The sequence below is a fragment of the Homo sapiens genome, chromosome 16 (assembly GCF_000001405.40).
Source record: "Homo sapiens chromosome 16, GRCh38.p14 Primary Assembly".
NCBI classification, from domain to species: Eukaryota; Metazoa; Chordata; class Mammalia; order Primates; family Hominidae; genus Homo; species Homo sapiens.
In genome coordinates this window covers 69354964-69369926 of record NC_000016.10, presented here as the reverse complement: position 1 = coordinate 69369926, position 14963 = coordinate 69354964, and the positions used below count along the sequence as shown (strand labels likewise).

General features: G+C 45.7%; 1 protein-coding gene across 6 annotated transcripts in view, besides 1 other annotated feature; it reads left to right on the top strand.

Annotated features, from left to right (window-relative positions):
• TERF2 (telomeric repeat binding factor 2) overlaps positions 1-14360 on the top strand; it is a 30441-nt gene extending 16081 nt beyond the window's left edge. For 2 of the 6 annotated variants that reach the window (XM_005256124.5, NM_005652.5), the window contains 5 exons: positions 1445-1551; positions 2728-3120; positions 8438-8523; positions 12366-12409; positions 12871-14360. In XM_005256124.5, the coding sequence (XP_005256181.1) occupies positions 1445-1551; positions 2728-3120; positions 8438-8523; positions 12366-12409; positions 12871-13029 (789 nt within the window). In that variant the 3' untranslated portion in view covers positions 13030-14360. Of the gene's footprint in view, positions 1-1331; positions 1341-1444; positions 1552-2727; positions 3121-8437; positions 8524-12321; positions 12410-12870 lie in introns of those variants that run through there. The other 4 variants (XM_005256122.4, XM_005256121.4, XM_005256123.4 and 1 more) reach the window with 4 other exon arrangements.
• Positions 11145-11345: a silencer, noted in NCBI's record as "peak2627 fragment used in MPRA reporter construct". NCBI's record gives its function as "represses an SCP1 promoter by STARR-seq MPRAs in K562 erythroleukemia cells {active_cell/tissue: K562}" and the evidence as "EXISTENCE:reporter gene assay evidence [ECO:0000049][PMID:32103011]".
• Positions 14361-14963: the final 603 nt, after the last annotated feature.

The following is a 14963-nucleotide window of genomic DNA, read 5'->3' as shown; positions in this document are numbered from 1 at the left end:
GTAGAACATTCACTTGCAATCGATGGTGGTTCCCAAAGGCGATGACTTGTGAACTAAGTTTGGAGGAAGGGTGGTTTGGTAGATGTGGTACGATGGAGTTGCTAACAGGAAGAAGGCATGGTGTGGAGAAAGGTGTCACTGAAAGTATAAAGTTGAAAGAAGCCAAATGAAAACATTCTTTAATTGGATCAAAGAGATAAAAGAATGGAAGCAGTGAGGCTCAGGACAGCATAGGGAAGAACTAGACCCAGGCTGTCATAGATGGGAGACTGTGGTGAAGGAACACTGAGTGAGAGTGGTTTTGTTTTGTTTTTGAAACCAGGACTTTGGCCCAGTACAGTGGTTCACACCTGTAATCCCAGCACTTTGGGAGGCCAAGGCAGGCAGGTTGCTTGAGCTTAGGAGTTCAAGACCACCCTGGGCAACATGGTGAAACCCCTTCTCTACAGAAAATACAAAAATTAGCCAGGTGTGGTGGCGCGTGCCTGTAGTCCCAGCTACTTGGGAGGCTGAAGTGGGAAGATCACTTGAGGCTGCCAGTGAGCTGTGGTTGTGCCACTGCACTTCAGCCTGGGCAAAAGAAACCAGGACTTTGAGAATGTGGAAAATATTCTGTCTCGTAACAGATCTGCCAGGCCCATATTAGGATAGTGTCCATGATCTTAGCAGTCGTTTGGCAAATCTCAGATTATTTATAAGCAGGTAGTTTGGGATATTCAGGCAGCAGGTGTCAAGATAGTTGAGCCTGGCCTAGGGTCCTTTCCTTTCCATTCCAGGTAACTGGAAACTATCCTTATCTATATAACACAAAGAGCCCTGATTAGCCTACTCAGGGCTCTTTGTGTTATATAGATAAGGATTCTCAAACAGTTGTTAATAAGGCAAAACATTTGTAGAAACAGTTATAAAAATTCTATACACAAACTGGAAGATATTAGTATGAACATTTATTGCCGGGCATGGTGGCTCATGCCTGTAATCCCAGCACTATGGGAGGCTGATGCGGGCAGATCACTTGAGGTCAGGAGTTCGAGGCCAGCCTGGCCAACATGGTGAAACCCCGTCTCTACTAAAATACAAAAATTAACTGGACATGGTGGTGGGCGCCTGTAATCCCAGCTACTTGGGAGGCCGAGATGGGAGAATTGCTTGAACCCAGGAGGTGGAGATTGCAGTGAGCCGAGATTGCACCACTGTGCTGCAGCCTGGGCGACAGAGCAAGACTCCCTCTCAAAAAAAATGTATTAGTTATCTTAAGTTTGAATAAAAAAAGCTTGATTTATAAGTCTTACAAGTTCTCTCCCATTTTATGTCCTTCGTTTTATGCCTAGATTGGATTTGTAAGTGAACTTGTTTGCATATTGAGTATATTCTTGGTGAAAGAAGCAGAGAATTAATGCAATTCTGTGGCCTCTTCTTCCTGATGACATCCTTCCTTTCCCAGATGGCCAAAAAGGCTTTGAAATCTGAGTCCGCTGCCTCAAGTACAGGGAAGGAAGATAAACAGCCAGCACCAGGGCCTGTGGAAAAGCCACCCAGAGAACCCGCAAGGTAAAAAGATGCTCTCTTGTGATCTTGGGTAAAACACTAGGGTGGTCGCTGGAAGCAGTCTCCTCCTTAGGCCAGGATCAGTTCCTCTCAGCACTCCGACCTACTAACGTGTTACGAGGTTACTCATACAAGGCACTGGGGGAGACTGCACACCCTGGGAAGATAAGGAAACAGGATGCCTGGGGTCCCTGACAACTTCCTGACTGGCCATTCCTCAAAGGCTCTTTCACCATTTCTCTCTCCTTGCCTCCCCCGTATTGACTCAGTACTTTTCTTGTGGACACCTAATCTCTTAATACATTCAGGAAGCACTGCTCAGATCTGTGAGTCGAATCCCAAAACCAGTTCCTAAAGCAGGGGTCACAAGCTTAGATGCCCTTTGAGGGCCGGTTAGGAAACCTAAAGGAACAAAGTGGACCTAGGCTGAGAGCATGGGGCTGGGAACCAGGGGATGTGCTTTTCAGCTTCTTGTGGTTGTTGCTCTGTGGGAGTATCCAAGGATGCTCAGGCTTCAGGTGCTCAGATTTTTGTATGAGATGTCCAGGGTTTTCCATGAGATTTCCCAGTTTTTGGATGTTAACAGTTGATCCACTTAAAAAATTTTTTTTCATGTTGGTTAGACAACAAGACAGGCTGCCAGATGGATTTGGCCTGCAGGCTGCCAGTTTGCCCCCTCTCCTAACAGTTTTTCCCTAAAGCATACTAACTGTTCCAAATGATAGATGAACTTTATTTTTAAAAGGCAGTTTCTCATTGTTCCAAGACTGTGTGGCATGCCTTTTACTCTGAGAATTCTCAAGATCCTGCTCTTAAGTGTGTTGTAGGCCGGGTGTGGTGGATCACGCCTGTAATCCCAGCACTTTGGGAGGCCGAGGTGGGTGGATCGCTTGAGCCCAGGAGTTCTAGGATACAGTGAGCTGTGTTTGTGCCACTGTATCCTATCTCTCTGTCCTATCTACTGTCTAGGACAGACCCAGACCCTATCTCTAAAAATAAAATGAGAAGTAAAATAAAGGTTCTCTAACTTGGAGTTTTAAATTCATAATACAACTTACATATCACATTTAAAGCCTCCTCAACTGGAATTTGAAGCTTCAAACTTCAAAAAAGTTGTGGCTGTTTGGATGAGCATCATCAGTGGTGAAAAACATCTTTGTGCCTATGCTTGATTTGCAGGCAGCTACGGAATCCTCCAACCACCATTGGAATGATGACTCTGAAAGCAGCTTTCAAGACTCTGTCTGGTGCACAGGATTCTGAGGCAGCCTTTGCAAAACTGGACCAGAAGGATCTGGTTCTTCCTACTCAAGCTCTCCCAGCATCACCAGCCCTCAAAAACAAGAGACCCAGAAAAGATGAAAACGAAAGTTCAGCCCCGGCTGACGGTGAGGGTGGCTCGGAACTGCAGCCCAAGAACAAGCGCATGACAATAAGCAGATTGGTCTTGGAGGAGGACAGCCAGAGTACTGAGCCCAGCGCAGGCCTCAACTCCTCCCAGGAGGCCGCTTCAGCGCCACCATCCAAGCCCACCGTTCTCAACCAACCCCTCCCTGGAGAGAAGAATCCCAAGTATGAAGACCTTCTTTGTAGAAATTTTGGGGCTGGTTGGTGGTCCTGGTTGGGCCTGGTATTACTTCCGTGAATGAAGTAACTTTCAGCTAAGTTACTCACCACCAAGGCTTGCTCAGACTGCTAGAACTTGACGCAGGAGTGGCCAGTGACGACGTAGCCATCCCTGCCGGTTCTGAAGCCCCGCATGTGGGCTTCCAAGCCTTGCACTAGGGCATGAGTGGGAATGGAAAGGTTTCAGAGCCTCCTACTCATCGCTGCTTTCATTTTTAGCAAACATCTGAGTGTCTTGACTTCTAAACATTAGTCTTGTGTGTTAAAAGAAATTTGTTTGCATTGGGCCACATTATACTTTGACCCTTAAAAAGAGACTGATGAATATGTATAATTTTGCACCCTTCTGAGCATTTGAGACTTGGCAAGTTCAGTGAATACTTACTAATCTCCCATGTCCTGCTAGGTACTGTGGGGCAGTGGCTAGAATACTTTAATTTTGCTCCCCATTGTGATTCTCATCCTGGCTTTGAGTTTTGCTTCCCTTTGTGTCCTGTGGTGGATCCTCCCTCCAGGCAGACTGGCCTGCTTGCTCTCTGGAACATGTTGTTTGTTTCTACCACTGTACTTTTGCTTCCTCTCATTCCCCACAGTGGACCGTCATCCCTTCATCATTGCTTGTCCAAATCCCATTTGTCCTTTAAAGGGAAGAAAAGCCGTTGTTGATGAAGTGCTTTCTGGGGGCAGAGCACTTTCATGTATCATCTTACTGAGTCACTACAATCCTCACTCTGTGAGGTGATGATATATTAGCCCCATTACACAGAGGAGAAGGGCTCAGAAAAGTTCTTAGCTCACCTGAAGTCACACAGCTAAAAGTGGCAAAGATGGGCTTTGGATTTTTAATCCAAGTCAGTCTTGACAGAAAAGCCCATGGCCTGTATACCATATACAACAAGTTGCCTCTCTTACAATTCTCCTTCCTCAGGCTGGGTGCGCTGGCTCACACCTGTAATCCCAGCACTTTGGGAGGCTGAGGCAGGCAGATTACCTGAGGTCAGGAGTTTGAGAGCAGCCTGGCCAACATGGTGAAACTCCGTCTCTACTAAAAATACAAAAATTCGCCAGGCGTGGTGGTGGGCGCCTGTAGTCCCAGCTACTTGGGAAGCTGAGGCAGGAGAATTACTGGAACCCGGGAGGCGGAGGCTGCACAGTGAGCCAAGATTGCACCACTGCACTCCAGGCTGGGCAACAGAGTGTGACTCCGTCTCAAAAAAACAAAAACAAAAACAACTTCTCCCTCCTCCACAGACTCCTCCCTGGTCACCACTAGTGATCCACCTTATGGATCTCCCAAGGCCACCTCTGCCTCTGCTCTGTGTTGTATTATTTGGGGACCTGTGGTCTGGCATGCATTGTACTTGGTGCCCCAAAGGGCTGTGGCATCTGATAAGTGATTTATCCTCAGGCACAGATTTGCACTATGTCACCACTACTTGTATGTAGAAGTGAGTCACCGGCTGGCAAATGGGCATAGCTGCTGGGCAGTGGATGCAGCTCCATGCATGTTATTCTCATTTGATACAGGATCTCATTGGCTTCTCACAGCAATCCTGTGCACTATAGGTATTGCTCCCGGGAACAGATGAGGAAACAGGAGAGTGCGAGATTACAGTAATTTTGTAAATGGGAGGATTTGTGAAGGTTTCAGACATACACCCTCTCTCATATGTCAAGGATATGAAGTCTAATGAATCCCCTAAAGCAGCAGGGGTTGGCAAGCTGTGGCCCTGGGGCCAAATCAGCCTACTGCCTGTTTTTGTAAATAAAGTTTTATTGGAACACAGTCACACCCATCATCAATGTATTATCTAGGGCTGCTTTCTGTTCATTGGTAGTTTGTTGAGTAGCCACAGCAGAGACAGGCTTGCAAAGTGAAAATACTATCTGGCCCTTTACAGAAAAAAAGGGTCAGTGTCCCTGCTCTAAAGAAGTATGTGTGAGGTGCCCTGGCCACTTATGGGAAGAAAAGCTGAGCCTATTCAGCAAGGTTTTAGGTGGCTCAGATTTTATAGAGGAACAAACATTGAGCTGGCCTGGGAAGGATGAGCAGAAGGTCGTCGAGTGTGTTGGGGGCTGGGGGACTCTACGCAGTGGGAGCTCCTTACATACAGGCATGAGAAAGCCTGGTGTGCCCCTCAGAGTGTCATGGAGCCTATGGTAGGAGAATACGGTGCATAGGAAAGAGTGAAGGTAGGAGAGTCTGCATGCTAGATGGGCCAGGCCTGGGATTTCTGTAGTCTAGTGTGTCAGGCAGAGGCTCTCAAGCTGGGCTTCATGACACAATGACCTGTGGAATGCTCAAAAAATACATATTCCCAGGCTCCTGGCTACTGAATTAGAAGAGTCAGGAGAATGCCCTTTAATCTGCTTTTTAAACCATGCCCCAGATAATTCTAATACAACAAATTGGAAGGCCTGATGAGACCCCACTCAGGGAAGGGAGGGAGGGAGGCTGGAGACTGGAGACCGCTGCCAGGGAGCAGGGAGGGGCAGTGGGATCAGGAGGGAAGGCAGGGTTGGCAGTGTCACTTGGACAGGGCCACCATGCCCCAATCTTGTATCTCCCACGGCACCTTGCACATAGCATGTGTTTACTAGGTATTTATTCACCAAGTAAAATAAGGATTCTTTGTTCTTGCATGTTAAGGAGTGACACCCAAAACACCTGTAAAAAGCCAGCAGAGGGTAACATTTTAGGCATTTTGGGCCACATGAGTTGTCTGTCTGTTCCATATTCTTTTCTTGTTTTTTCTTTTTCTTTTTTTCTTGAGACAGGGTCTCGCTCTGTCACCTGGGCTGGAGTACAGTGGCACAATCTCGGCTCACTGCAACCTCTGCCTCCCAGGTTCAAGCGATTCTCCTACCTCAGCCACCATCCCCGCCCCCATCCCAGTAACTGGGACCACAGGTGCGTGCCACCGCACCTGGCTAATTTTTGTATATTTTGTACAGATGGGGTTTGACCATGTAGGCTGGTCTCGAACTCCTGGACTTAATAAGCGATCCACCTGCCTGGGCCTCTCAAACTGCTGGGATTACAGACGTGAGCCACTGCTCCCAACTGTCTTTTTTTGTTTTTTTGTTACAACCCTTAAAAAACGGGCTTGCCATTCTCACCCCAAGCTTCATGGTACACAAGCCGCAGCAGCCAGACTGTAGCTTGCCAACACTTGCTAGACCATTGCTCTTCATGTTCAAACTGCCAGTCAGGAGCACAAGGACCAGGAAGTGGCCTGACTTGGCCAGGACCACTCAGCCCATTACAGTTAGGAGGAGCGGCCAGATCTCAGCCCCATCCACTTGGGAAGTCAGGAGAGGCAGTGAACACATCACCTGAAAGTCAGAGGTCTTGCGAAATCACCACCAAAGCATGTATTTGTACAGGTAATAGTGCTGAGAGTTCAACAGAGGACAGGGAGAAGGTGACCTGTGAAGACTGTGCAGGGAGGGAGGACAGCCACTCAGGGAACATGACGGACCAGCTGGGGACTGAGGTTCCAACTGGTTTTATTCCAGCACTGGGATAAGCACATAGAAAACAAACTATAACCCCATCTGATTTTTATTTATGAATAGTCATTAACACAAGAATATCCTGAGAAGGAAAAACCTCCTGTAAAATGTTTTCACTTTGTCTCAAGTAAATTATTCTCAAGTAACATTTGGGGATAAGATCCAATGTAAAAACAAGAGAAAGTTAGGTCTACCATTTGTCTCAGCCACTTAGTTAAGTAATTTCATAGAAAACTTATGGAACTCAAGGAATTTTTTCAAGCCTATGTACTTATTCATCAACTTGCTTTTATTATTCATTTGCAAAATACCCAAACAGCATTAAAAATAAGTTTTTTCTTCATGGCGGGTGAAGAATACAGAAATTTGTCTCTATTCTTGGTTAACTTTTGCGGGTCATTTGATTTATATAAATTCCTCAAGACTCTGAATTCAGACACTTTCCATGTTTGTAAAAGATGTTATAATTCTGAGGTCAGATCTGTGCTTTGCTCTGTTCCCAGGGCAGTTATTAATCAGGTAAATGCAAAGTTGATTAGAAGAAATGGGCTATAGTTTTCATTGAATAATTTGAGTTTGGGGTTATTTTCAGCTTTTGTACTTTTTTTAGCCACACCCAAGCATTTAACGTTTCATGTTCACAAGAAGGATTCTTGTTTGCTTTTTACTCTAATCTTTGATGGTATAACTCCCTTGTGGCTCTCTGACAATCACAATGTTAGTTCAGCTAATATGTCTCCAGCTCACATTGGGGTCTGTGTTACTGTGCTGGGTATGCTATGTGTTTGGGATGGACAAAGGAAGATGTGGCCCCCGCCTTCGAGGCGGTCCTGGTTAGGGGCACACTGCAAAGTGGCACTTGGTATGGTGGAAACAGCACTGCAGGCAGGAGGAGAAAGGCTTTCTGTGTGTGTTGTGGTTGGTAGTTAGAGGAGGCTTCACTGAGAACCATGGCCTTGAAAGATGGATGAGATGTCACTTAGCAGGGAAGGGACTCCCAAGCAGAGGGGCTACAGAGAGGCAGGAAAGTACAGAGCTTATGGAAGGAAGAAAGAGCAGAACAGTGTGGCTGTGCTGTTTGCACAGGTGTGGGCATCGTGGGGCGGTTGGTTAGAAACTGACGGGCCAGACTGGATGGTGTGGACTCCCCCATACAGGCATATAGATGCCACTGTTCAGGCAGAGAGAAGCCATTAGGGAATAGAAGAGGCATGTGGTAATTTTAGGGTGATTGTCCTAAAATCATCTTTGGCTTTGGAAGGGGAAGAGCCTAGCGGCAGAGACTCTAGTTAAGAGGCTAGTGGAATACTGATGAAAGGCGCCGTGAGCTTGAACAAGGGGGAATGGAAACGGAAAAATCAGTCCAGATATAGGAAGAAGGCATGTCCAAGGAAGAGAGGGAGGGGTTTGCAGGTTCTAAATCAGAAAAATACTGAGACCTTTAAAAGAGTCAAAACCAAACAAGCAAAACAGGAAAATGAACAGATTCTTTAGAGGGGTGGTGATGTGCTTGATGTACTCAGTGCTGAATTTGAAGGGTGTCCTGCAGCCTGAGGGGTGTTACGTGGAGATGCCTGGCCAGCCAGGAGAAAGGACAGTGGCTTTGGGAGGTGCATGCAGGCGAACCTCGATTGTGGTCACAACGGGACAGGAAGGAGTACAGGGCCAAGAGTGAGCCAAGACCAGAATCTGGGACAATCCAGGGTGAATTTGTTTTATACCTGTGCTCTCCTTGATCTCCCCTCAGAGTACCCAAAGGCAAGTGGAACAGCTCTAATGGGGTTGAAGAAAAGGAGACTTGGGTGGAAGAGGATGAACTGTTTCAAGTTCAGGGTAAGCAGAAGATTCTCCTTGGCCTCTTCTTGATGCTTGCTGAAGTACAGATGCGTGTTACTGTCATGTTAATATTCCAGAAGCTGCTTGTCTCCGAACTAGAAAAAGTTCAGTAAGTTCCCGATCTCATTTTAATTCATGAAGAATCAGTTTTTTTTTTTTTTTCCTTTTTCAGACAGGGTCTTGCTCTGTCACCCAGGCCAGAATGCAGTGGTGTAAACATGGCTCACTGAGCTTCAACCTTCTGGGCTCAAGTGATCCTCCTGCCTCAGCCTCCTGAGTAGCTGGGACTGCAGGTGTGCACCACCACACCTGGCTGTTTTTTTCACTTTTTGTAGAGATGGGGTCTCACTTTGTTGCTCAGGCTGGTCTCAAACTCTTGGGCTCAAGCGATCCTCCCACCTCAGCCTCCCAGAGTGCTGGGATTACAGATGTGAGTCACTGTGCCCTGGTCAAGGAGTCAGTCTGATGTCCTCTCCCATTAAATAATGGAGACTGTCAGAGTAACGCCTTATGTTTAAAGAGAGTTCTTGGTTTTGTTTTAATAACGCCTATGATATTTAATTATAGTTGATGTTCTTCCTAAAATCCTTCAATTAGATGTGGTAGTAGGGGGTCATTCCCTGCATTTCTTGTTTAAAGAAAAAAAAATCTTAACAGTTTCTATATATAAATCCTTTTTTTTTTTTTTTTTTTTTGAGACAGGGTCTCACTCTCATCCAAGGTGGAATGCAGTGGTGTGATCTTGGCTCACTGTAGCCGTGACATCCTGGGCTAAAGCAATTCTCCCACCTTAGCCTCTGGAGTATCGGGGACTACAGGCCCTTGCCACCATGCCCAACTAATCTTTTTTTGTATTTTTAGTAGAGCCAGGGTTTCACCATGTTGGCCAGTATGATCTCGAACTCCTGGGCTCAAGCAATCTGTCTGCCTCATCCTCTCAAAGTGCTGGGACTATACTTGTGAGCCACCATACCATACCCTACCAAAATTGTTTTCTTTTTTTCTTTTTTTTTTTTGAGATGCAGTCTTACTTTGTTGCCCAGGCTGGAGTGCAATGGTGCGATCTCGGCTCACTGCAACCTCCGCCTTCCAGGTTCAAGTGATTCTTATGACTCAGCCTCCTTAGTAGCTGGGATTGCAGGTGTGTCGCACCACGCCCGGCTAATTTTTGTATTTTTAGTAGTCGGGTTTTCACCATGTTGGGCAGGCTGCTCTCAAACTCCTGACCTCAAGTGATCTGCTCGCCTCAGCCTCCCAAAGTGTTGGGATTACAGGTGTGAGCCACCGCCCAGACCCAAATTGTACTTCTATAAAATGAACAAGGACTTGAAAATTCTAGGCTGGGCGTAGTGGCTCATGCCTGTAATCCCAGCACTTTGGGAGGCCGAGGCAGGCGGATTCCTTGAACTCAGGGGTTGGAGACCAGCTTGGGCAAGAGGGCAAAACTCCATGTCTACAAAAAATACAAACAAAAAAAATTTAGGCCAGGAGTGGTGGCTCACGCCTGTAATCCCAGCACTTTTGAAGGCCGAGGCAGGCGGATCACAAGGTCAGAAGTTCGACACCAGCATGGCCAATATGGTGAAACCCTGTCTCTACTAAAAATACAGAAATTAGCCGGGTGTGGTGGCAGGCGCCTGTAGTCCCAGCTACTCAGGAGGCTGAGGCAGGAGAATAGCTTGAACCCGGGAGGCGGAGGTTGCAGTGAGCTGAGATTGCACCACTGCACTCCAGCCTGGGCAAAAAAAAAAAAAAAAAAAAAAAAAAAAAAAATTGGGAATGATAGTAAGAGGAAGATTAAAAAATGAAGGAGAAAAAAAGAAAATTTTAGTACAAAACAGCAAAACCATATGATTTCTTTTTTTTTTTTTTTGAGACAGAGTCTCGCTCTGTTGCCCAGGCTGGGGTGCAGTGGCGCGATCTTGCCTCACCGCAACCTCCACCTCCTGGGTTCAAGTGATTCTCCTGCCTCAACCTCCCGAGTAGTTGGGACTATAGGTATGTGCCACCACTCCCAGCTAATTTTCATATTTTTAGTAGAGAAGGAGTTTTGCCATGTTGTCCAGACTAGTCTCGAACTCCTGACCTCAAGTGATCCGCCCGCCTTGGCCTCCCAAAGTGCTGGGATTACAGGCGTGAGCCACCACACCCAGCCAAAACCATGTGATTTCAAAGCAGTGGTTAGCAAGGGGTTATAATGCAGAAATTATACATATAAACACACCTATAGTCATGTGCCACATAACAAAGTTTTGGTTAACGATGGACTGCATATATGGTGACGGTGGTCCCATTAGGTTATATATAGAGCTGAAAAATTCATATCGCCTAGTGACATTGTAGATGTCATAGGCATTGTAACATTGTAGTGCAATGCATTACTTTGTCTCTGTTTAGATATGTTTAGATACACAATATTTACCATTGTGTCACAGTTGCATGTCACATGCTGTACAGGTTTGTAGCGGAAAAATAGGCTACACCATATATCGTAGGCATATTCCTTTTTTGCAGAGGTTAGCTAAGTTAATAGTAATCGGTAAGATTAAGGGGATTAGGACTGTTATAGCAGTGGAAGAATACATGTTTGTTACTTTTATTTGGAGTTGCACCAATGTTTTTGGTTCCTAAGTCCAGTGGATGACTCTAGTCCTTTAAAAGTTGAGAAAGCCATGTTGTTAGACATGGGGACATGAGTTAGCAGTTGTCAGATACTTTCTCCATAGATAAGAAGTTGCAGGCTAGAGCCTAGGCTCTACCATCTAGGTTTGTGTAAGTCACACAAGGATGAAATCACCAAACGATGCATTTCTCAGAACATATCCCCATTGTTAAGCAACATATGACTGTATATATACATACACACACTAATACCTATATGTATATGTAGACATTATATATACATAAGGGTTTTAAATATGACGTTCCCTCAGTAATTTTAGAAAACGATGTTGGGGCCAGGCATGGTGGTTCACACCTGGAATCCCAGCACTTTGGGAGGCCGAGGTGGGTGGATCACTAGGTCAGGAGATTGATACCACCCTGGCTAACACAGTGAAACCCTATCTCTACTAAAAATACAAAAATTAGCCGGGCACGGTGGCTCATGCCTGTAATCCCAGCACTTTGGAAGGCCGAGATGGGCGGATCATGAGGTCGGGAGATGGAGACCATCCTGGTTAACACAGTGAAACCCGGTCTGTACTAAAAATACAAAAAAATTAGCCGGGCGTAGTGGTGGGCGCCTGTAGTCCCAGCTACTCGGGAGGCTGAGGCAGGAGAATGGTGTGAGCCTGGGAGGCGGAGCTTGCAGTGAGCCGAGATCGCTCCACTGCACTCCAGCCTGGGCGACAGAGTGAGACTCCTTCTCAAACAAACAAACAAACAAAAATTAGCCGGGCGTGGTGGCGGGCGCCTGTAGTCACTCGGGAGGCTGAGGCAGGAGAATGGGGTGAACCTGGGAGGCGGAGCTTGCAGTGAGCCGAGATAGCGCCACTGCACTCCAGCCTGGGGAACGGAGCAAGACTCCGTCTCAAAAAAAAAAAAAAAAAAAAGAAAACGATGTTGATTTTACTGAAGAGCTTGAAACGCATCACTAGCCAGCATTTACGGATGCCTGTTTGTAAAGCACTTGCATTGTACAGGTTCTCATAGGCTGAAGTGACTGGTGTTTGCAAATAAAGGAGAAAAGTAAATTATCCTTTAGTGATATCCTTTCTCTTCTCAATGCTTGTGAAATTTGAAGAAGTTTTCCCTTTGGGGACATTCCATGTCTTTTTCTTGTGGTTTGTGCAGAGAAAGGTGAACTCTGAAATGAGTCTACTTTTAATGTTTTCCAGCAGCACCAGATGAAGACAGTACAACCAATATAACAAAAAAGCAGGTAATTTAAAATTCTCTTTTCTGTTACTGGTTATGTGGGTAGAGCAGAGGTAAAATACGCGCCCTGTCTCACAGGTATAGACTGGTTATGTACCCAGTAAAAACCTTTTTTTGAGATTTTCAGATAATCCAAACTAAGTTAAAGTAATAATTATCTTCTGGAAGAAAAGACTAGGAAAACAGATGACACATTTTCCGGAACATGAATGATGTAGATATGTTTGCAGTTTGGAATGCAGAAGTGATTGTTACTTGAGGATCAAATGGCAGGACATCAAGAATTCCTGTGTCCAGATCCACAGTGCTCATATCTTGTCCATTCCATGTTTAAAAACATAAGCTGTGATTTCAGGTTCAGATGATTCTCCTGGGATTCTTGAGTTTACCTTATCACTACATTGGAGAAAATGTAAGTAAGTGGAGAGGAAAGGTGGTAATAAATCTTTTGGTTTTCTTTTGCAGAAGTGGACTGTAGAAGAAAGCGAGTGGGTCAAGGCTGGAGTGCAGAAATATGGGGAAGGAAACTGGGCTGCCATTTCTAAAAATTACCCATTTGTTAACCGAACAGCTGTGATGATTAAGGATCGCTGGCGGACCATGAAAAGACTTGGCATGAACTGAAACAGGCTTTCATTTCCACAGAATTCACAGGAGCATGGTTCCTAATAATAGCCCCTGATAGTCTGCTCTTTCTTTCTTTTTCTTTTTTTTTTTTTTTTGAGACAGAGTCTCGCTCTGTCACCCAGGCTGGAGTGCAGTGGCGTGATCTCGGCTCACTGCGACCTCCGTCTCCCGGGCTCACGCCATTCTCCTGCCTCAGCCTCCCGAGTAGCTGGGACTACAGGCGCCCGCCATCACGCCCGGCTAATGTTTTGTATTTTTAGTAGAGACGGGGTTTCACCGTGTTAGCCAGGATGGTCTCGATCTCCTGACCTCGTGATCCACCCAACTCGGCCTCCCAAAGTGCTGGGATTACAGGCATGAGCCACCGCGCCTGGCATCTGCTGTTTCTTTCAGAAGCTGGGCTGGGATGAGAATTTTGGGCAACCTCCTTCGACGTGGGGGAGGTCCCATTTCCACTTCATCACTGTTGGAGATCATGGAGCTAAGAAGCAGAGCCAAGTCCACCCATGTCCTTGGCAGAGATGACAGGCACACAGCTTGTGCAGTGCCAGAATATCATTAGCGTTTCCCTTCTTTAGTGGTTTGCTTAAATTTAAATCCCTGGTAATCTGTAGAACCTTCTCCTAGGAAATGGTGAAGTCTATTAGGAGCCACTTGTGACTCCATGACCTGTTAAAACCAGCAATGTGAGTATTATTTGGAGTAAATTTGTTCCACGTCAAGTTCTGGCCTTCTGATGCAAATGCAAAGGAACTTAGTCTGTTATGAACCCAGGTTGATGACAGACCAGTCCTTGTGGAATAAGATTCCCTTTAAAAACTCTTTAGCCAGTCGTGACATCAACCCTAGACCTGTCTGCCTTGGCATTTGCTGTCAACATCTGCTGGGCTATGTAGGCAGGTTAATCCTCCACTTCTCATGTGGTTGAACCAGTGTGTTTTTTGGTAAAATGGTGATTGTAGATAAGATTAGTTCCCTGATCCCCTGCCCCCTGTCCCCTGCCTCTTTTCCCAATTCCCTTCCTTATGCTGGACTTTTAAAGCTTAAAAAAAATCCGATTGAATATAAATGCCTAATTTCATTCTTTGTGAAATGGTTGCTTCCTCCTGATTCCCTAATTGTGCTGTGTTCGTGTCTTGCACTGGAATTCAACATTCCCTTCTCCTTTTGTACTGTGTTGTGCTTGCTGTCTCTCCCGGACACCCTTAAAGACTGTCTTTTTAGCAAAAAATTTCAGTAAAGTGTTTTCTGTAATCTTTTTTTAAAAGGTGAGAACTAATTATTGTCCATACTTGTAGCATTCTTCATTAAAGTCTTGCTTCTCTCAACTGTAAGTAGCTGTTTAATTGCAGCACAGCATGTATCCACAGAGGGAGGTAGCAAAATGTTAAACTTTGCTGAACTATTTTGATCAAGAAGCTGATGTCAGACTTTATTGAATGTTTTAATCCTTGGAAGCTATGTCAAACAGATGATATGGAAGTTTCCTCTTAACCTTTCAGTTTCCTCATATATCATTTCTGGGGACAAAAGAATTCCCCCTTTCTCACTTCTGAGTGAGTGAAAGGCAAGGCTTAAAGAAATGCTAAAGTTTTAAAATTCATCCATTAGGCCAGGCATGGTGGCTAATGCCTGTAATCCCAGCACTCTGGGAGGCCGAGGCAGGAGGATCACTTGAGGTCAGGAGTTCGAGACCAGCGCGGCCAACATAGTAAAACCCTATGTACTAAAAATACAAAAATTAGCTGGGCGTGGTGGCGGGTGCCTGTAATCCCAGCTATTCAGGAGGCTGAGGCACAAGAATCGCTTGAACTCGGGAGATGGAGGTTGCAACGAGCCAAGATCATGCCACTGCACTCCAGCCTGGGCAACAAAGCGAGACTCTATCTCAAAACAAAACAAAACTGGCTGGGAGCCATGGCTCACCCCTG